The sequence below is a fragment of the Homo sapiens genome, chromosome 9 (genome assembly GCF_000001405.40).
Source record: "Homo sapiens chromosome 9, GRCh38.p14 Primary Assembly".
Lineage (NCBI taxonomy): Eukaryota > Metazoa > Chordata > Mammalia > Primates > Hominidae > Homo > Homo sapiens.
The window spans coordinates 110,983,766-111,006,146 of record NC_000009.12 but is presented as its reverse complement, the minus strand read 5'-3'; the positions used below and the strand labels follow the sequence as shown (position 1 = coordinate 111,006,146).

Genomic DNA, 22,381 nt, shown 5'->3' with positions numbered 1-22,381 from the left:
AACCAATTCTTCAGTTCATTTTTCATTTCTAGTGGCTATATGCCTTCATTAATTCCTCCTTTTATTGTTCAATTACCCTTTATTGAGCACTGTCTATATTGCCAGGCACACTGAGCATTAGGATAAAAAAATAATTATAGTGCTGGCTTTATCCTCAGGAAGCTCAAAGTCCAGCAGTTGTCTCATAACTGAATAGGGTTTAGTGTGATGAATGTTATGACTTATGTGCAAGGTACAGAGGTGATGGCATATAGCAGGGCACACCAACACACTGCTGATGATGTGTGTGTGGCAGTGATTAAGGAGACTCCTGAGACATCAGCTGGACATTGGAAGATTGAAAGATAAAGGGAGTTCACCTTGTGGATAGGCAGTGGAAGAAGGCATTTTAATTGTGAAAACAGAATATGGAAGGCATGAAGTAACATGATGTTTTCTAGGAACTCCAGGTAGTTTTGTTGGTAAATAATGTTAAGACTTGCTAGTGGATGAGGCAGAGGCTGGATCAGGGGAGGTCTTGGGGAATGTACAAAGGAATCTGAAGTTTGCTTCCTCCTTCCCAATTCTTCTTTTTTTTTTTTTTTTTTTTTTTTTTTTTTTGAGACAGGGTCTCACTCGTTGCTCAGGCTGGAGTACAGTGGTGCCATCACAGTATACTGCAACCTCCACCTCCTGGGCTCAGGTAATTCTCTCACCTCAGCCTCCCGAGTAGCTGGGACTACACAGTCACACACCACCACACCCAGCTAATTTTTTTCACCATGTTGCCCAGGCTGGTCTCCTGAGCTCAAGTGATCCACCTACCTGGGCCTCCTACAGTGCTGGGATTACAGGCATGAGCCGTCACGCCTGGCCCACCTCCCTCCCAATTCTTAACAATTGAAAGGATTTCCACAATTTTGTTAGATCATTGCAGGAGGTTAAATTGGAGAGAGACAGAGAGAAATGAAATGAGATTAGAGCTAGAGAACTTTTTTTTTTTTTTTTTTTTTTTTGAGACTTTGTCACCCAGGCTAGAGTACAGTGTTGTAATCATGGCTAACTGCAGCTTCGACCTCTTGGGCTCAACCAATGCTTGCGCTTTAGCCTTTTGAGTACCTGGAACCACAGGCACACGCCATCACACCCAGCTATGTTTGTTTGTTTTTTGTAGAGATGGGGTCTCACTTTGTTGCCCAGGCTTGTCTCAAATTCATGGGCTCAAGTGATCCTCCCACTTTAGCCTCCCAAAATGCTGAGATTACAGGCATGAGCCACCGTGCTCAACCAAGAATGGATTTGAATCTATTAAGTTGGAATGTTGGACTACATTCTGGAATGGGATGCATAATTAAGTATCACCAGACTATAAGTGTCTGTGGAATTGATTGGTATGGATAAGATGGCCTAAGGAGAGTAAGCAGAAGTAGAATAGGAAAGGGCCAAGTACAGAGCTTGGGGGTAAGCCAACATTTCCTAGTCATCAGAGGAAGAGGATCCTGCAAAGAAGCTTGAGAAAAGGCTATCACAAAGTTGGATAAGAATCAAGGGAGCATGGTGTTGTGAGTAGGGCAAAATTAAAACGAGTGATTAATGATGCAAAATGCCAACAGAGGGTCAAGTAAGATGAGGACAGAGAAAGAACCTTTTTAGAGGTCAGTGATCTTAAGGTTTTGAGTTGGGGTGGAGGAAGCCATGGTTCATCATATAAAAATGTAAAAGCAATAAGCACAGTTTCTTCAGTATCCTGGGCCTTGAAAAGGGAGGATGGGGTAGGGGAACGAGAGAGAAGGAAGAAGTTGGGGTCAAGGGAGTACTTTTTCTTTCTTGAATAGGAAACCTAGCATGTTTATATTCTGAGGACTGGGAAATGAGGAGAGAACAAAACTGAAGCCACAGAAGAGAGAATAATTGAATGAAGTAAACTGCAGTGCAAAACAAGATGTGGCCAATTGAAGACTAGGATGAATGGGAGAGATATCTTGCAAAGTCATTGTTAGCCAAAATTGGTGACGGTGACTATCACTGGAGGATCAAGACATGCATTTCACAAATGTTTATGAGCACAAAGAACTATGGCAGCTGTGTACTGGGTGAAGGATGGAGCCTTGATTATGCCCTCATGGAATGATTAGTTTTTCTTAAGTCTGAGTTGTTGGGATGAACTTCATTGAAATAGTTAATGTGACTTTGACACTACTAAGAGTATGAATATTACATGTTAGTTGGAATAGTGGTCCAAGACATATGCAAATAAATTCAGTTATTTCTGAGTTATGAATTCTGAGCCCAATTATTTTTACCATTATATTTTTGTTTCTGTGAGCCATATAAATCTGAGATACAGCTGGAGGTTTGGGGGAATAATTCCTAGGATATGTGGCTGCACCATCTCCCCTTAACTCCCACAAAGAATGGTTTGGTTTTCATGGTCCGGCTCCTTGGGATGGTGGAGGAGGAAGCTTCTGACCTGGCCACACTGCATTGGCTCATGGGTGACTGCCCTTTCTGTGATTGCAGCCACCACTTTTTAGTCCCTGATCCCCAAATAATAGTTCACTGTACTTATCTTACCCTCCCCAAAGAGAAGGAGATTTTCCTTCCAAATAAGAAAACTCTTTAGGGCATCCTCAGGGATGCCTATGTGTTTGTAACACTTTTAGCACCCAACATAGCCCTTTCTCTTTTGATTTGTGGTTCACTCTATTAAGCAAATTACATTCATTGTCCCTAGAGAATGGGTTCTAAGTAGATTTGTGTGCCACCCTGCTGGTCTCACTCTTGCGGGCTTTTACTTGAGATGCGAGGGTGCATGTGTTGACTCTGTCTTACCGTGGAGTGTTCTGGCTTGCCTACTAAACTCCAGGGATAGGGACAGCCATAATCCTGCCTTCTCTGTTTGTGACTGAATCTCTGTGGTTTAAATACTTTATATAAAACTTACACATTTCAGCTGATTAATAACAGCTATGCAGGAACATTCAATTCTGAGGCAATTTTAATGTAGTCGTTGATAAAATACAAACTATCATAATAAAACTGTTTAATTTACAGTTGATTCCACAGGATCAGGGGATTTCCATTTCAAATGGGCTCCTGATGATCTGCCTGGATTCCCAGAATTTCTCATCTGGGTATACAAATTAGGTTTCTTGTAACCAACACTTCATATTTTATTTATTTATTTTTTTTGTAGAGATGGGGTCTCACCATGTGGACCAGGCTGGTCTCAAACTCCTGGCCTCAAGCAATTCTCCTGCCTCAGGCCCACAGACTGCCGGGATTACAAGTGTGAGCCACCATGCCTGGCTCCCTTCATATTTTAAAGAGAAGTTACACCTACAGCGCTTTCGACTTTTGATGGACACATCTTTCTAGAGCATAGTTCTTGCATTCCTCTTTTACTGAAAGTTGTTAATTGCTTTGTTCCATTAGCCTTAGCAGGAAAAATCCTATCTCTGGAGTTTTAGGTCCCTTGGTTTATCTTAATTTCGATTAGGAATAAGAGAATACCTACCTATTCAGCTCTCAAACAGCAATGAATATTGCACTGTGTTCATCCTCATTACCTCCCATTATTAGTTTACATTCTGGGACACTTTTTCTATCTTTAATGATAAGTTCATTCAGAAATATGTTCCCACATTGAGCCATACTTCTGGTTTTGTGTGATTAACTTTGGCACCCCATGAGTAGTGTCTGTTAAAATTAAATGCTTGTTTTGCCTCAAGAGAGCTAGAATACATACACATATTACCGTGATTTACTGTTAAGTGTGCAGATTGAGGTGGTTTAGAAGTTTAAAATTGGTTTCCGAAGGGAAATTTACAAGAAAAGTATAACAGATGAATATGTGATTAGAACTGCATTCCTTTTTTAAGTAAATTAAACAGTTTTATTATGATAGCTTGTATTTTATCAATGACTACATTAAAATTGCCTCTGGAATTGAATGTTCCTGCGTAGTTGTTATTAATCAGCTGAAACATGTAAGTGTTATATAAAGTAAAAAGAGCTATAAACCAAGGAGAAAGTCTGAAGATAGAACTTTAAAAAACCACTGTTATTTCCAGGTAAAATATTTAATTTCCAAAGAAGGTTAGCATATGTTAAAAGCTAAATCTTGTTCTGCATTTGTTGGCTACATTTATATGAATTTTTATATGGAAGTTCCTATCCAGGGTATTTATTAGTCATTTTGGAAGTTTTTATCCAGGGTATTGATTAGTTGGCATCTTATATGTTCTTTCAGAAGCTGTATGTATTATTTTTAAAAATAGAATTCTAATTGAGCTTTTAATCTGTCTGCTGAATCAGGAACATTACATGACTTTCTTTGGAGGGGAAGGAAGCCAGTGGTTAGTTTTAGGTATAAAAGAGATCTTCAAGCACGGTCTTTTTAACTTCTTGTTTCTGTATTATTTCAGGAAATAGAGGCAGCTTTCCCTACATTAGATTGTTAGCACAGAATAACAGTAGAAGGGTTCAGAAATGAAGCTAAAAGGAAATAAGAGACCAGCATGATGCTGGAGTTCCCCTAGGCCAGTCAAATTATGTTCAGGCCTTTAGTCCATCTGGATGTTAGTTCTATGTATGATATGAAGTTGGGGTGTCTGATTAGGTATATTTTTCCTTTTGCCTTAGAACCATTTTTTTTTCCAGTCCCTTTATGTCCCCACTGTAATGTCATGTGTATCATTTATGTAAGACTGTTTTGAAACTTTGTGTACCTCTGAATGTCTAGCCTGGAACAATTGTCACATTACCTTCATTACATGGCTTTTAATATGTCTTACTCATTGGTAGGTCAAGTCCTCTACTTCTATTCTCTTAATTTGTCTTGGCTATTTTGGTCCTTAGCATTTCACTGGAAATTTAGGAGCAGGTTTATCTATAGACTTCCTTGGACTTTGAATTTAAATAATCATTTTGATTGCAAATAAGGGCAGTTTTGACTCTTTCACTCCTTACATGTTATTTATTGTTGTCTTGTTTCATTGAATTAACTAGGCTGTCTAGAACTGTGTTGAATAGTAGGAGTAATAGTGAGATTCTTGTTATTCCTGATATTGAAGAAAATGCTTCTAAAGAGAACCCTATTCCTTTTTGAGGAGTATTATTTAAAACAGCTCAGCATTTCCATGTGTTTGATTTTAGCATATTAAAACATAGGAAACATGCAGTGAACAAAAGGGGTTATTATGAGCTTAGTGTACCAGCTGTCTTAAGGTTTTCATTGTTTTAGAGGCATTTAGTTAGATTTAATTCTGACTCCAAAATGACCGACCTCTCTGGAGACTGTATTTTGTAGGAGAGAATAAGAGTATTTCCATTTTAATGGAAAAGTGGCAAAGCTTCCTTCCACTTCGTAATTTTTGTGGACAGTATTCCAGCATTGTCCAACAGATTTTTGTGATAATGGAAAATGTATTTCTGCACTGTGCACGTAGGAGAGCAACTATCATATTGGACAGTGTGGGCCTAGACTTTGGAGTTCTAACCATGCCCCATTTACTAGCTGCACAGGTTCCTGCCTGGTTTCAGAAGGCTTATTCTTTTGGGCTAGCACAGCTCACACTGAGGCACGTGGCTGGGGGAGTAGAGCAGTCCTTGCTGGATTGCAGCCATGGCTCTCCTTTTAGCCTGATGCCTTTGTGCAAGTGAGCAGCTGGCACCATTGACAAGGGTGATCCTGGTGACTACCTCTGGAGGCTCTGGACCCTGACTGCTGAAACAGGAGAAAACCCTGGCCCCATGCCCCTAAGAAGTCACCCGATCAAAGTGGAGCCTGTTGTTTCCCTAGTCACAAGTCAATACTAAGAGATTTGGCTAGTGACAAGGAAATTTTTCATGTTAGAATTCTTGTACCCAGCTCTTTTTAGAACTGGACTACTGTTCTCCCATATTCAGGAGGCCATGAACCAACCAGTAGATTGTTTATTGTGCTTGCTGATTTATGAAAAAACTTCTTTGTACAGAGCTTCTGAAAGGGGTAAGAGAAAGGGAGAATAGCAGTGTTATGGACTGAAGAATGTGTCTCCCTGAAATTCATATGTTGAAATCTCAGTCCCCAAGGCGATGGTATTAGGAGGTGATTAGGTCATAAGGGCTCCGCCCTCATGAATGAGATTAGGGGCCTTATAAAAGAGACCCTACAGTCGGTGTGTTGACTCACACCTGTAATCCCAGCACTCTGGGAGGCTGAGGCAGAAGATTTGCTTGAGCTCAGGAGTTTGAGACCAACCTGGGCAACACAGCAAGACCCTGTGTCTACTATTAATAAATATTTTAAAAAATTAGCCTGGTGTGGTGGCGTGTGCGTGTAGTTTCAGCTTCTTGGGAGGCTTAGGTGGCAGAATCACTTGAGCCTAGGAGTTTAAGTCTATAGTGAGGTAGATCGCGCCACTCCAGCCTGGGTGACAGCAAGACCCTGTCCTAACATGCTCTTAGGAGTTTCATAAATGTGACCCCAGAAGAGCTCTCTAGCCCTGTTTCCACTTATGAGGCTAAATTGAGAAGATCGCAGACCACAACCCCGAAGAGGCCTCATCAGAGCCCAACTTTGTTGTCACCCTGGTCTTCGACTTCCAGCCTTCAGATCTGTAAGAAAGAAATGTTTGTTGTTTAAGCCACCCAGTCTGTGGTAGCTTTCATAGCAGCCTGAACTGACTAAGACAAGTGGATAGCTGTCTGGTTGTTTTAGAAAGCAGGGCTGCATGGTGTGGGGATGCTGCTGCTACTCATTCCTGCTCATTCCAGTGTTCTGGAAAATGAGGTAGGGTGGGGGAGGTCTGAACCTTCTAATTTATTTCTAGCTGTTCTTTTTTAGCAATTAAAGCATTCGTTGGACACCAGTTGCTTTTAATTCAGTTCCATCTGCACTGTACTTAATAGATATTACTCCCAGGTTCTTATAAATGGCTGGTTGTTATTCTTGGTTTCAGAGCTATTTTGAGTTTTTGTCTTCATTTGTATTTTGACTGGAAATTGGGTGTGGACATATTGGGGAGTTGGGGCTGACATCATCTTTATTCAGAAGTCACTTTATGACCATGTGCGGGATATATTAATTTCACTACAGCTTTTGATCTTAATAAAATGTCTCTGGGTTGAGCTGACTGATCACGAAGATTTTAAACTTTAATGTTTCCTAAGAGGATTGATACAGCCATCCAGAGAATAACATAGTATATAGGAGTTATCTTTTGACAGATCAAGTTCCATTTCCAAATGATATAAAACCCACCTGTGTCCACATCCTTATGCCTTCTTTTGAATCTATGATTTGATAACTTAAGAAATCTATCTATGCATTAGATATTGCCTTTCCGGTAGAGCTATGGTGTGATCTTATGCTCATGAACAGAAAATGAATTTAAGAATCCTCAGACCTATTGTCCAGTTCTTTTCTTTAAGAAGAACTTGCTATTGACTTTGTCAAAACTAAATCTGTTGCCTTGGGCGACACCCTCCAAAATTCAGATTCAGATGGATTACACTAATAGCTTTATGCTACAGATCAAGTCATATAATGTGAAGGTACAATTGCAGCTCCCTTATTGTTGTAGACGCTTGCCGGGATGAAGTTCTCAAACTTAACATGCTCTTAGGAGTTTCATTAAACATGTGTGTGTATTTTTAATGTCCAGGATTTATAAATGGTAACACCTGCCCTCAGTTCTTTTTTGCACTGGTCCACGGTGTTTCAGTTACAGTCTTTATTGAATAATTCAAAAGTTCTCTCCTGAAACAATATTTCTGGCAGTCCTTATAATTGACCAGGTGGAATGACCTTCAGTTTGGATGAAAGTCCAATTTATTTATTTATTTAATAAAATTCCAAATTTGCCTTTTCTGCCAGGTATTAAAAGCACTTAAAACTTTTTCTAATCAACAATACTGAACACTTCAGACACTTATCAGAGACTTTAGTCTTGAATTATGTATTATTTTAAATTATTATTTCCAGTTCTATTAAAGGCCATGTGAGGCCACTGATTTTTTAAATGGACAGTTTAGTGAGTGGTTCTTAAAGTGTGGCCCCATGAGCAGCACCAGCATCACTTGGAGATTTGTTAATAAATGCAAATTCTTGGATCCACCCCAGACCTACTGAATCAGACATGCAGTGGGGTGGGGCTCATACATCTGTGTTTGAACAAGCCCTCCAGTGAATTCTGTGTGCCACATATTACAATTTGAGAACCACTGGTGTAATGCAGTAGTTAACACACCTAGCTTTCAACCTAGACCCACTTTGGGTGCTTGTTAAAATACAGATTCTTGGTTCTCTCTCGCACAGCATCTTATGCACCAGCTTTGGAGAAGACACAGGACTCAGTGTTACTATATTCTGCAGTAAAGCTTGCTCTGCTCACCTTATATCATATTAGATCACTTACTAGCAATAAATGTAGAATATAATACGTTTGTTCTAGTCCAAGTATCTGTGAAGAACTCTGATTTAAGATAATGGCATGTAATCAGACATACGCTTCAGAATTAAGGAGACTTAAAAAATACAGATGTCTAGTTTCTACTAAATAAAAAACTCTGTTAAAAGTCTGGTTTTGTTTTGTGTTTAAGTTTCATGGGTGCTATACCATCCAAGAACCATTTATTTTTATCTTCAGCTTTCATTGAGAGTTGATAGGAGAAGAAATAGCCATATTAATATTTTTGTATATTTTATACCATTTGATAACTCTTACTAGGAATTAGTAGAAGAAAATAACATCTCTCTCTCTCAATAGTTAATACGCAACTCTTCATTTTCCCTTTTGCTTTGGTTACCAGAGAGCTCAGAGTAAAATTTTGCACTCAGTTTTGAAATACCTATTTCCCTTGCTTACTTTAATCCATGACTCTTGTTCTTTATAATCTTCTGTAACCTATCTGAAACTTATTTGGAAGTAGATGGGGCCCCAAAACTAAGTAAATGATGGAATATCTGCCCTTTGCTTTGAAATGGGCTTCTTGATTGACTCTTTCCCAGCTTGGGGTCAGTGTCTTCTTTATATCATCCTTCCTTTCATAGACACAATACAATTGTTGGTAGCCTCACTGTGAAAGAGTTAATGTTTCCCAATACCAGGCACTGACATAGGCAGTAGGAAAAATCTGGTTCATTTTGTTTCAAAATACACCATACCACGAATAAGTACAAACAGCTGCAATTTGGGCTTGGGGCCAAAAGAAATCAGTGTGGTGCTATGAATTCCAGCTGAGAGGAGGAGTTCATGTAACTTAGATCAGAGATCAGTCTCTGTAACGAGACCATCAGACCCCAGAAGGGGAAGGGTCCTTGTATGTCACTTCAGTTACCTCCATCGCTACCACCAAAAGAAACTGGGGTAGTTCTTTGGAGAGGTGGCCTTTTAGAAATCTAAAATTATACCCTTGGAGCCGCTTCTCTGCAATTGGCTGAACACATCACATTTTATCCCTTGCCCCCAGCACTGTATTACTGTAAAATGGGGAAATCTGGGAATACAAAAGATTTAGAGACTTGCCACCTGCTCATTTTATCGCTATGACTTGGCTTAAAACAACAGTCGCTGTAACCTCAGCCCTTTGGCACACGCTTCCTTCTCAAGCCCCAGGAAATTCTTGGTCAGGTCGCACCCACAGCCACTGAGTCTGGTTGTTTCTTCTTCTCCCAGATTTTTTAGGGAATATCAGTTTAGTAAAACTTATTTTTTTGTAAGCGGACTCCTTTTGTATCAGAATTCCTTTCCTTTAAAAAATATTTTTATATTTATTATTATTTTTTAAGTAGAGATGGCATCTTGCTATGTTGGCCAGGCTGGTCTCGAACCCCTGGTCTCAAGTGATTGTCCTGCCTTGGCCTCGGAGAGTGTTGGAGTTACAGGCTTGAGCCACCACACCCAGCCCAGAATTCCCTTTCTAATGTCATAATGCCTTATCTCTTTTTTGGAGTGGTCATCAAATCCCTTTTCACACTAGTTAGAAGTTTTCTGTGTGATATTCTCCATTCTCTACATATTTGGACTATCCCACTGTGTTTTTCTGGACATGTAGGACAGCATCTTTCAGGCCCATTAGCAGATAGAAGTCTTTCAAGTGGGGCCTCACAGCTGTTTTTAGGTCTCCGGTTGGTTTTTAGGTCATGTCTCAGACATAGGGGCTTTGTGGCTACTTTGTGGTTTTACTATCTCCTCATAGTTTATTAAAAAAGAGGCTCCTTTTCCCTTCCATTTTCTACTGCTTTCCTGATAAAAGACTTCAGCCATTATTTTTAAAAGTGTCCGCTATTATATTTTAAACCCTTTCATAACAGGAAAACAGGAGTTAACCACTCACATAAGTTAGAGAGGGGACCCCCCTTTTTTGGTGATTTTCATAGTTACTAAATCATTGTGAACAGAGAAAAGTCACTTAATTCCCTTTGCTTCACTTCCTGATTTCTTCAACAGAGTGGTAACATTTGAGATGCTATTCATAGAATTGTATATCAAAGAATGAGGCCAGCTCTTTCTTGGTGCTCCCTCAAGTTGGTAAAATCACGTATGTGACTTCTCAGGAAGCCAGAGTATTTACATATCCTCGACCCAGCTGGGAATAATTCATCCTCTAGTACAATACTAGTTTTCTTTAGATTCCCCTCTATATTTACTGTTTTAGAGAGGTATTGCCAAGAGGGTTTTCAATGAGGAAGAATGGTAATATGCTGGGAGCAGGAAAGGAAATGAAATTAAGCGTCTCATTATTTTTCCCATGCTGAAGTAGATATTAGGATTGTATTCCACAGGTCTTATTTTCTTCCCCCTCCCCACCTCAAAACTTCAGGCAGGATGTATAAGTCTAGACTTAGGTTATATACTGATTTTTTTTAAGCTTTTATCTCCAGTTTAATTAGAGGCTGGTGAAGGAAACTGGGTTTCTTATTTGGCTCTCAAACTTTGAAAATAAACAAAACTTTCATATATTTGAATAGCACATTGTGGGCCAAACAACATCTGGAAGAGATTAGTCTCACTGGTAGGCAGAAGAAATTTCATAATGTACCATCTTCAAAGAACATGGTACCTCGTCACATTTCTCATGTGACATGTATCCTGGAAACAGAAGTACTTAGGGCCACATTGCTGGAGCATCTGCCTTTGTCTTTGTTTTGTGTTTAACATAAATGTGTCTTTCTAATACTATGATATTTCTTTAGCTTTTTTGAAAACACAGCTAAACTTGGTGGTACGATGCTGCCTGCGCTGTTGACTGTGGTCTAGACTTCTCCTTTTTCAGAAGACCTATTTGACTTTTGGCAACGTGCCTCTTAGAGTTTGTGATTTGTTTGAGACATCTTTTCCTGTCTTCTCTAAAATCAGGCACATATGTGTCTGGGGTAGTCATGTACTTTGTAACAGTCACTTTTAGCCAGATCTTGGGGATGTCTATTCTTATGGTTAGTAGTGACACATGAACCCTCTCTTCCACTTAAAATTATTTTATGTAAGATGACTGCTTCTCCTTCTATCCCTGCTCCTTCCTCTCCTCCTCCTCTACTCTGCCTCCCTCAAACTTATAGAAAAGTTGCAAGTACAGTAAAAAAGTGTGAAGAAGCTTTTATCTCCCTAAGTCAATTAAGAGTGAATTGTTTACACTGATGCGCTAACATCTTCAAATACTCTGTTTTTCTCACAAACAAGCACATTCTTCAACATAGTCACAAAGCAACCACTGAAATCAGTAAATTCACCCTATTATCTTACTATCATCTAATTATCAGATCCCATTGAAATTTTCCCATATTGTCACAACAATATCCTTGATAGTGAAGGATCCAGCTCATCATCTTGCACTGTATTTATAATTAGGTCTTTTCTAAGTCTACTTTATTATGGAATAGTTTCTAACTTTTTTCTTGGCTTTTATACCCTTGATCTCTTGATTATAGGCTGTTCATTGTGTAGAATGTTCCTCAGTGGGTTTGTTACATGTTTCCTGTTGATTAAATTCAGATTTCAAACTTTTGGCAGGAACATGACAGAAGTGATATTCTCATTGCATTTTGTCAGGTGGCACACACTGTTGATTTGCTCCATTATTGGTGATGTTATTTTGATCACTTGATTAAAGTGATGTCTTCCAGACTTATTTACTGTACAGTTATTATTTTGCACTTTATGGTAAGTATTTTCTAGGGAAGTGTTTGAGTCTTTGTAAATATCAATTTTTTGGTCAAACTTTTATTTGTATTAAAATGAACTTACGGATTCCTTTTTCATTTTCAAACTTAGAAATAATTAGACCAGTGAGTACCTTTCAAACTAGTTTCCTTGTCCTTTTTACATGTCTGCATAATTCTTTTAAGTGCTGTCTTAACTGTCTGCTCAAGGTAACCAAGGCATCATGTATTTCCCTAATCTGAGGAACAGGCATATCTCCAAGGAGCCTGGCACCTTTCTGTAGAGAATGGTATTAAGAGACGAAGATGTAAGTGTTAGGTGTGCTCATTGTTATTGGGATATCACTATTCCCAGGCTTCTCACTGTGCAACACACACATTGATAACTGTTTTTATTTCTATTTCTATTGAAAACCTCTCTCCTTCTCTCCTGGATTACCTCTTTCTTTCTCTCCTGGTTGACCCCTCACCTTTCAGGCTTTGACACAAACTCTGGGCTACCTTCCCATGGGGACATCCTCTTCACCTCACTTAGACTCTGACACTCTGCGTTGGGCTGCCCTTGGAGCCACTGAGGAACATTCTACACAATAAACAGCCTATAATCAAGAGATCAAGGGTATAAAAGCCAGGAAAAAACTTAAAAACTATTCCATAATAATTTTTAAAAATTAGTTTGTGGTATGAGAACACATGGACACAGGCAGGGGAACATCACACACCAGGGGCCTGTTGGTGGGTGAGGGGCTGGGGAAGGGATAGCATTAGGAGAAATACCTAATGTAAATGACAAGTTGATGGGTGCAGCAAACCAACATAGCACATGTATACCTATGTAACAAACCTGCACGTGGTGCACATGTACCCTAGAACTTAAAGTATATTAAAAAAAAATTAGTTTGTGGTTAGTGGTCATATTTTCTTGTATGCCAGAGTTTTCCATTTAAGGAGAATGTTCTTTAAATATTACATTTTAAAAAGTTGTAAAATAGCGTTTTTCTTTAAGACTTATGCTTTCTTTTAATTTTTTCATTGATAACATAGACTACATATATTTAAAGTATACAATTTGATTTGTTTTGACGTATGCATATACTCTCGAAATTATCACTGCAATGAAGATGGTGAACATATCCAACACTCCTCAGCTTTTCTCCTGTTGTTTGAAATCCTTCCCTCATGTCATTCTGCTCTTATACTCCCAGGCAACCACTTAATTGCTTTTGGTCACTATAAATTAGTTTGCATTTTCTACAGTTTTATATAATGGAATCATACAGTAAGTGTTGTGTTTTGTCTGGTTTATTTTACTCGGCTTATTTTGAGAGTGATAGATAGTATTATACATACCAGTAGTTCATTTGTTTTTATTGCTGGGTAGTCTTCTGTTTTATGGATACATAACAATTTGTCCATTCATTTATGAATGGACATTTGAGCTGTTTCCAGTTTTTGGCTATTTACAGATAAAACTACTAGAAGCATTTGTGCTCAAGTCTTTGTATAGACAACTACTTTATTTTCTCTTGGGTAAATACCTAGGAGTTAAATGGCAGAACTGGATAATTAACTTTTAAAGAAACTGTCAGATTATTTTCCAGACTGATTCTATCTTACATTCCCACATCAGTGTGTGAGAGTTGCAGCTTCTTTAAATCCTCACTGACACTTGGTATGGTTGGTTTTTTCAATTTTATCCATTCTAATAGTCATGTAGTGGTGTTTCATTGTGGTTTTAATTTGCATTTTTCCTAATTGCTCTTCTATGCTTATCTGCCATCCGTATATTATCTTTGGTAAACTGTCCCAATCTTTTGCCCCTTTTTGAATTTTGAAATTTCTTATATGCTTTGGATACAAGTTCCTTATGGACATATACTTTGAAAGTATTTTCTCTCAGTTTGTGGCTTGCCATTTAATTTATTTAACAATGTCTTTTAAAAAGTAAATTTAAATGAAGTTCAGTTTTTCTGTTTGTTCTTTATAGATCCTGCTTTTGATATTTTGACTAAAGAAAAAAAAAAACAAGCTTTTAAAGAATTTAAGTTAGTTTTATCCAGAAGTCTTACTGAGAGCTATAGACTGACTGAGGACTACAGCCTGGGAGGAGTCTTTCAGAAAGGTTCTGTTGGCCAGGAGTGGTGGCTCACGCCTGTAATCCCAGCACTTTGGGAGGCCGAGGTGGGCGGATCACCTGAGGTCAGGAGTTTGAGACCAGCCTGACCAACATGGAGAAACCCCATCTCTACTAAAAATACAAATGGCACATACCTGTAATCCCAGCTACTTGGGAGGCTGAGGCAGGAGAATTGCTCGAACCTGGGAGGCGGAGGTTGCAGTGAGCCAAGATCGTGCCATTGCACTCCAGCCTGGGCAACAAGAGTGAAACTGTCCCAAAAAACAACAACAACAACAACAACAACAACAACAACAACAACAACAAAACAAACCAGAAAGATTCTATCAGACTGCTCCAAAATAGTGTTTCAGCTCACAGTTTATATACAGGTTCAGTGCATATAAAATCACATCAAAGTTTGGGTGCAAGAGTCTATCTAGTTATAGATTACAGAAGTGTAATCACTAACCCTGTCAGGTGTTCTCTTATGTGTAGGAAAAGGCAAGGACTAGGGCCATTTATCTTTTAAGGAATACAGTGACTCAGGCAAGAGCTGGAGGGTGGGAGGCCCTGTTCTCTATTCTGTTTTGTCTTCAATGCACGTTTCTGGAGAGCTACACGTTGTCACAGAGTCAGGGGCTTTGGGAAAGTATGTTGACAAGCAGAAATGAGCAAATATGTCTTCTTACATTTGTTACTTTGGCTCACAGGTATCTTATCTAAGGAAACTTTGCTTACGCAAAGTACACAATGATTTTCTCTTATGTTTTCCTCTAGAAGTTTTATGGTTCTAAGTTTTATATTTAGGTTTATGACCCTTTTCAGTTAATTTTTGTATATGGTATGAGGTATGAATCAGTTGGTTTTTTCAGTTTATATTTTTGCTTATGGATATCTAATAGTTCCACCATGATTTTAAAATTGTGACTTCATATTTAAAAGTGGAGAAAATGCTATACTACACTGTCTTAATCATTTATTATACTTTTAATGTCTCTGACAGGGACAATAGTAATGACCCCTCTTTCAATTTTATTATTAGTCATTTATATCTTCTCACCTTTTTTCTCGACTAATCTGGTTAGAGCGTTAGCAATTGTATTGATGTTCTTAAAGAAACATCTTTTGGATTTGTTTTATAGTTTCTATATAATTATCTACTATTTTATTTTTTCCTGCTTACTTTGATTTTAATTAAATTATCCTTTTCTAGTTTTTGATGGTAAAAGATGAGGTCATTTATTTGAGACTTTTCTTCTTTTCTATTATAGGTGTTTAATGCTATGGTTTTCCTCTTTGGCACTGGTTTAGTGACATCCCACAAATTTTGATATGTTTTGTTTTCCTCTTCATTTAGTTCAAAATATTCAATTCAAAAGATTTTTTAATTACCTCCTTTGACTTCTTTGATTTATAAGGTATATACAGATACATTACTTAGTTTCCAGCATTTGATGATTTTCCAGAGATCATTCTGTTATTGATAATTTAAGTGTGGTCAGAGAACAGACTTTTTATGACTCAAATTCTTTTACATTTATTGAGACTTGTTTTATGGCCCAGAATATGGTCTATATTGGTACAGATTTCTTTTGTTCTTGAGAGGAATGTGTAGTCTGGTGTTGGGTTGAGTCTTTTCAAAATGTCAAATTAGATCAAGTTGACTACTTGTATTGTTCATGTCTCTTATATCCTTACTGATTTTTTCTGTTCTGTCAATTAATGACTGAGGCATATTTATCTCTGGCTATATTTGTGGATTTGTTTATTTATCCAGTTACTCGTTTTTACTTCGTATGTTTCAAAAATCTGTAATTAGATGCATACACTTTTAGGATTGTTATGTCATCTTGATAAAGAGACTCTATCATTATGAAATAACCTTTTTTTTTAAAATCCCTGCTAATATGTTTTGCTCTAAAATCTACTAATCTACTCTGTTAGATTTTAATATTGATACTTCAGCTTTGTTTTGTTTAGTGTTAGCTGGGTATTTCGTTTTTTTATCCTTTTACTTTTAATCTATTTGTGTCTTCATGTTTAAAGTATGGTTCATGTAGGGAGCATATAGTTGTGTCTTGCTTTTTTATCCAGTCTCATAATCTATGCCTTTTAATTGAGTTGTTTAGACCACTTACATTTAATGAGTGTATATATATGTGTTTTCATATGGTTATGTTTAAATCTATCATCTTGCTTTTGTCTATTGTCACATTTGTTCTATTTTTTGGATTTGGTATACTTTATGATTTCATTTTATCTTCTTGTTGGATTGTTAGCCATAATTCTTTATTTTATTTTTAGTGGTTGATTCAGTGTGTGCAGTAGGCTTTAATTTATTGTAGGCAACTTTTAAGTGACATCGTACCCCTTTATGTATAGTACAAGAACCTCACAACAATACAGTATACTTACTTTACTCCCCTGCTTTTTAAAACTTTTGTAATAAACTCTATTGTTATTTTCATTATCTTTTTAGAACAACTTTATTGAGGTATAATTTAATACCATAAAAGCCAGCCATTTAAAATTCAATAGTTTTTGATATATTAAGAGTTCTGCAGCAGTGGCATGTGCCTGTATTCCCAGCTATTCAGGAGGCAGAGACAGGATCACTTGAGCACAGGAGTTTAAGGCCAGCCTGGGCAACAGAGCCAGTCCTTGTCTCCAGATAGATAGATAGATAATGTGCAATCATCACTCCAATCAAGCTCAGAAAATGTTTATCATTCCAAGAGAAACCTCATATTTGTTTTCAATCACTCCCTATTTATCCTCTTCCAAACTCCTGAAAAACACGAATCTACTTTCTTTCTCATAGATTTACCTATCTTGGACATTTCATGTAAACAGGCTTATAGATTTGTGGCCTTTTTTGATTGGCTTTTCACTTAGAAAAAAATGCACAATACTGCATGTTGTAGTATGTATCTTTCTTTCTTTTTTTGTTGCTGCTCAATAATATTCCATTGTTTAAAAATACCATATTTAACTTTATCCTTTCAACAGTTGATAGACATTTGGATTATTTCTACTTTTTGATGATTCTGTAATGCTTCTATGAATATTCTTGGAGAAGTTTTTGTGTGGATATATATTTTCAGTTCTTTTGGGCATATACTTAGGAGTGGAATTGCTGGATCATATGAAAATGCTATTTAATATTTTGAGGAACTACCAGATTTTCACAGTGGCTGCACCTTTTATATTCCCACCAGCAATGTATAAGGGTTCCAATTTCTCCACATTCTTAACCAACACTTGTTATTATGTCTTTTAAATTATAGCCATCCTAGTAGTTATGAAGTGTGAATTTGGCTTTTGTTTCCCTAATGGCTAAAGGATATCCAGTGTCTTTTCATATTCTTGTTAGCCATTTGTCTGTTTTCTTAGAAAAATATCTATTCAGATATTTAATCATTTTAAAATTAGCTTGTCTCTTCATTATTGAATTGCAGGAGTTCTTTATTCTGGATACAAGTCCCTTATGATTTGCAAATATTTTTCTTTCTATGAGTTGTTTTCAATTATATTTTTCAGATACTTATATAATAAAATGGTTTTTATATTTATCCATGTTATTACTATTAATATTTTTGGTATCCTTCATTTCTTTATGAGGATCCATATTTTCATGTGGTATAATTTTCTTTCTGTCTGATGAACTTCTTTTTAACATTTCTTATGGTCCAACGTCTGCTTATGATGAATTCTTTCACCTTTTGTATGTTTGAAAATGTTTTTATTTTACTTTCACCTCTGAACATTTTTTAATGTGTATAAAGTTCTAGATTGATAGTTCCCCCACTTCCCATTATTTTAAAGATGTTGATCACCTGTCTTTTTGCTTGGATTGTTTCTGATGAGAAATCTGCTGTCATTCTTATCCTTGTTCCTCTCTAGGTGTCTTTTTTTTTCTTTAATCCAGTAACTTTAAAGATTTTATTGTTATGGTTTTGTAAATTTGATTGTGCATTTTTCTTTGTTTCCTGTGCTCATGCTTCATTGAGCTTGTTGAGTCTGTGGGTTTATAGTGTTTATTTTTAGCCTTGTTTTTTCACTCTCCCTTTTTGCTTTGGGGACTCCAGTTACGTGTACAGTTGACCCACGAACAATGCAGATCCATTTATATGCATATTTTTTTCCAACCAAATGCAGATCAGAAATATAGTATTCATGGTATGCGAACCCCACAGGTATGGAGGGCCAACTTTATATATATATATATATATACATGTAGGTTCCACAGGGCTGTCTGTGGTGTAACTGCCCAATGGGTTCTCCTTACCTACTCCCCAGGTGGAACTGATTTATCAAGACAGGAGACTTGCAATAGCGAAAGAGTTTAATTCATGTAGAGCCAGCTGAATGGGTGACTGGAGTTTTATTACTCAAATCAGTCTCCCCCCAAATTTGGAGACTGAAGTTTTTAAAGAATAATTTCGTGAGTAGGGGGCCAGGGAGTAGGGAGTGTTATTGGTGGCACTGGAGATGAAATTATTGGGAGTTGAAATATTATATAAACATATATATTATATAAACATATGTATTATACAATTGAATATAATACCTATTATATATGCAATATATTATATAGAATAAACATAATAATTGAATAGATATATAATAGTTGAATTGCATGTAAATGTAGTTTTAATAACAAGGTTGCCAAGTACTGTATTACTGGATGCTTACATTGTTCCTAAAATTATCCTATCATACATGATATTGCATTAAGCATCCTTGTAGCAAATTCTTTGTCCTTTATATTTTTCCCATAGTATAAATTCCTAGTGGTGGAGTTACATGCCTTCTGATTCAGCACACTTTTTAGGATCTTGATGGAAACCATGCATATACACACATTTCCCTAATATTAGCATTCCAGAAAGGTTACAACAGTTTCACCTATACCAGAAATACATTTGAGCGCCTATTTTCCTACTTTGTATACAAACACATCAGAAAACCATCTTTCAAGGATAACTTTCTTATGTTGAGGCAGTTTTAAATCACAATCATTCAAGCACTCAGTATTGATTTTGATTCATTCTCCCAAAGGTGCTTGAATTTTAAGCTACTTGAAACCTTAAATAATGGAAGATGTCTCTGTTAAGAGAACTCTCTGCTGTTGAACACTGTTATTCAGGGCTGAATCACTTTACTTACCACAGCCACAGACTTCTATATTCTGACTAGCTATTTCGACACTTTGTTTCCACCCCCATTGGTCTCTTTTCTTCCCTAATTTTCTTCCCTTCACTTCATATATTCACATTCCTTCTATTTTAGGCCATTTGGGAATTACTTTTTTTTTTTAGAATAGTTAACTTTTTAAATTTTTGTTTTATTTTTAATTTTTGTGGAGACAGAGTTTCACTATATTGCCCTGGCTGGTCTCAAACTCCTGGGCTCAAGCAATCCTCCGGCCTTGGCCTCTCAAAGTGCTGGAATTACAGGCATGAGCCACCATACTTGGCTGAAAATTACTTCTCATGTTAGAAACATGCACTTACTCTTAGAATGAAATATTTTTCAAGACTCATCTGTGGTTGGAAGAGTCTAGCCTGCCCGAAGCTTGGTTATAGAGGTTGTAATTGTCCTTGTTCTGAAAACTACGGACTGAAAACACCCCAGCTTGGCACAGTGGCGCCCTCAGTAGAAATGTATCCACCCTATAGGGTGCTTCTCCTGTAAGTGGAAATCCTAATTCAAATTTATATCTGCATTGCTCTAGGTCCCTATGCAAATGGCTGAGGGTCATGGCATGCACACACAAAGAAGATCAAGAGTTTAGATGACTCTGGAAAGAAACAGGGCAGAATGAAGTCTGTCTCTTACCCAGAGTAGAGTTCTACTTTTCAAGAGGATTTTTTTCAGTCTTCTTTGTGGAATCCTCCTCATTTCCCCTTAAAATGTAGATCTCATTCCTTCTCTTCTTGCTCTCTGTCTTCATGAGTGATCACACTCCCTTGAGCTCAATTTTCTCCAACTCAGAAATCTGTAGTTCCAGGCCTTTCCTGATTTACTACTTCTAAGTAGAGATTTTCTCCCATTTTCTAAGCATTGTAACACAAACTAGCTTGACCTTGAGGCTAAACAGTTTGGCCAATATATCCTTTGCCTTCATAGTGACACTTATTCTAAGATAGTAATCTCCATAATTTGAATTTTACAATTCTTGGTTATTTTGGTAAGTGTCAGGATAGCATTCCTCTCCATCAGGACCACTTCTAAAGTGAAAACTATACAGCTGGGAATACAGTCTTTGAAATTAAGACAGTGTTTACTTATATAAGTTTTGGCCAGTTTCTCCAGCTTCTAGAATACCTGACCTGGCCCATCATGACCTGATAAAATACATGTAAAAAGGCGCAATTGTGTTAATTGTGTTTCTCTCTCTGCAGTCAGTGTGCGCAGGATGGGCTAGTTGTATTTCTTCCTTGGAATGCGTTAGCTCTGTGCCCTGTAGAAAAAATGATAGACTTTTAGACCAATTTGAAAATAAAAGATCTAATTGAAAAGCTGGAGAAGCAAATGAAAAGACTGATCTTATTTGTGGAAAAGGATTTATGAACATGAAATATATTGTATCCTGTGAGTACACTGAAGCAAGATCTTAGGGCTGACACTTTGAGGAAGAGAGGAAAGTAGCCACAGAGAGAGGAAAGCAGCCTGTAGCCACAGGTGGCGATGGTATTTTAAAACAAAACATAAGGTAGTCATTTGGTTTCTCAAATGCATTTCTGATTTCTTTGTTCTGAATCTGCATGTGAAGCAAATGAACCCATAGCCTCCTTCATCCCAGCTGAACCATTTGCTTCACTGTCAGTGAAGGGGGTAGAGTCAGTGGTAGGGATAAGTAACCCAGATAAAAAGTTTAGCATGGCCATGTCTCTGTCATCCTGTTTTCCCCTTTCCTTTTTCTTTTTGATTCTTTAAAACGGAAATTCTGATTTTATCAACTTTAGAAATGAAACAGTATTGATTGGCTCCTTTCTCAAAAGGTGAAGAATGTTCTCCTTTTTCTTGTGATTTTCTGGAGTTTTCATCTTAGCTTATTAGTTACACGTATTTCAACTGTATAGCTTTTTTTTTTTCCTATTAGTTAAAACTGCATTCTTTTTTTTTTGTCACCGTTACTATCACAGGTATTCTGTGCTTATCTGGATTGACAAGCTGCTCTTGCCAAAGGTTTCCTGAGCACATTATTTTGATTTGTCATATGAGTAGTTGTATTATGTGTTTGAACAAATTTTTCAGGGAGAAATATATCTTAATTATACCATATGATCCAGCAATCTCACTGCTAAGTATATACCCAAAAGAAAGAAAATCAGCATATTGAAGAGGTATCTTCACTCTCATGTTTATTGCAGCACTGTTCACAATAGCCAAGATTTGGAAGCAGCCTAAGTGTCCATTAACAGAAAAATGGATAAAGAAAATGTGGTACTTATACACAATGGAGTATTATTCAGCCAGAAAAGGAATAAGATCTTGTCATTTGCAACAACATGGATGGAACTGGAGGTCACTGTGTTAAGTGAAGTAAGCTAGTCACAGATAAACTTTGCATGTTCTTATTTGTAGGAACTAAAAAAATTAATTGAACATATGGAGACAGAGAATAGAAGGATAGTTACGAGGGGCTAGGAAGGTGGGTTGGTTAATGGGTACAGAAATATAGTTAAATAGAATGAATAAGATCTAGTATTTGGTAGCATAACAGGGTAAATTTATTGTACATTTTATAATAGTTAAAAGAGTATAGTTGGATTATTGGATTGTTTGTAACACAAAGAAAGGATAAGTGCTTGAGGTGATGCGTACCCATTTACCATGATGTGACTATTACATATTGCATGCCTGCATCAGAATATCCCATATACCCCACAAATATATACACCTACTATGTACCCACAAAAATTAAAAATAAAAATATTAAAAGTGGCTTGTTTTTGTTATTGCAGGTAAACAAAGGCTTGATTGGCTGTAGAATTTTTGAGTCGTTCCATATTTCTGACAAAATCTTGAAATTTATTCCTTCATCTTATTTGTTGGGGTGAGGTTAATGGCTGTGTCCAGCCCATTTTTTTCCCATTATGATTTGATTTATTTTCCCCATTTGATTTTTT

The 22,381-nt window shown here is 37.1% G+C and overlaps 1 protein-coding gene across 77 annotated transcripts in view; it reads left to right on the top strand.

Moving 5' to 3' along the window:
* Window positions 1-22,381, top strand: part of LPAR1 (lysophosphatidic acid receptor 1) — a 165,736-nt gene that overhangs the window by 32,852 nt on the left and 110,503 nt on the right. For 25 of the 77 annotated variants that reach the window (NM_001387475.1, NM_001387474.1, NM_001387473.1 and 22 more), the window contains one exon: window positions 608-682. The exons of 49 other annotated variants lie outside the window; for them this stretch is intronic. The gene's annotated coding sequence lies outside the window, so the exon portion shown is untranslated. Of the gene's footprint in view, window positions 1-607; window positions 683-6,675; window positions 6,755-22,381 lie in introns of those variants that run through there. 3 more of the 77 variants (NM_001387514.1, NM_001387518.1, NM_001387515.1) reach the window with 1 other exon arrangement.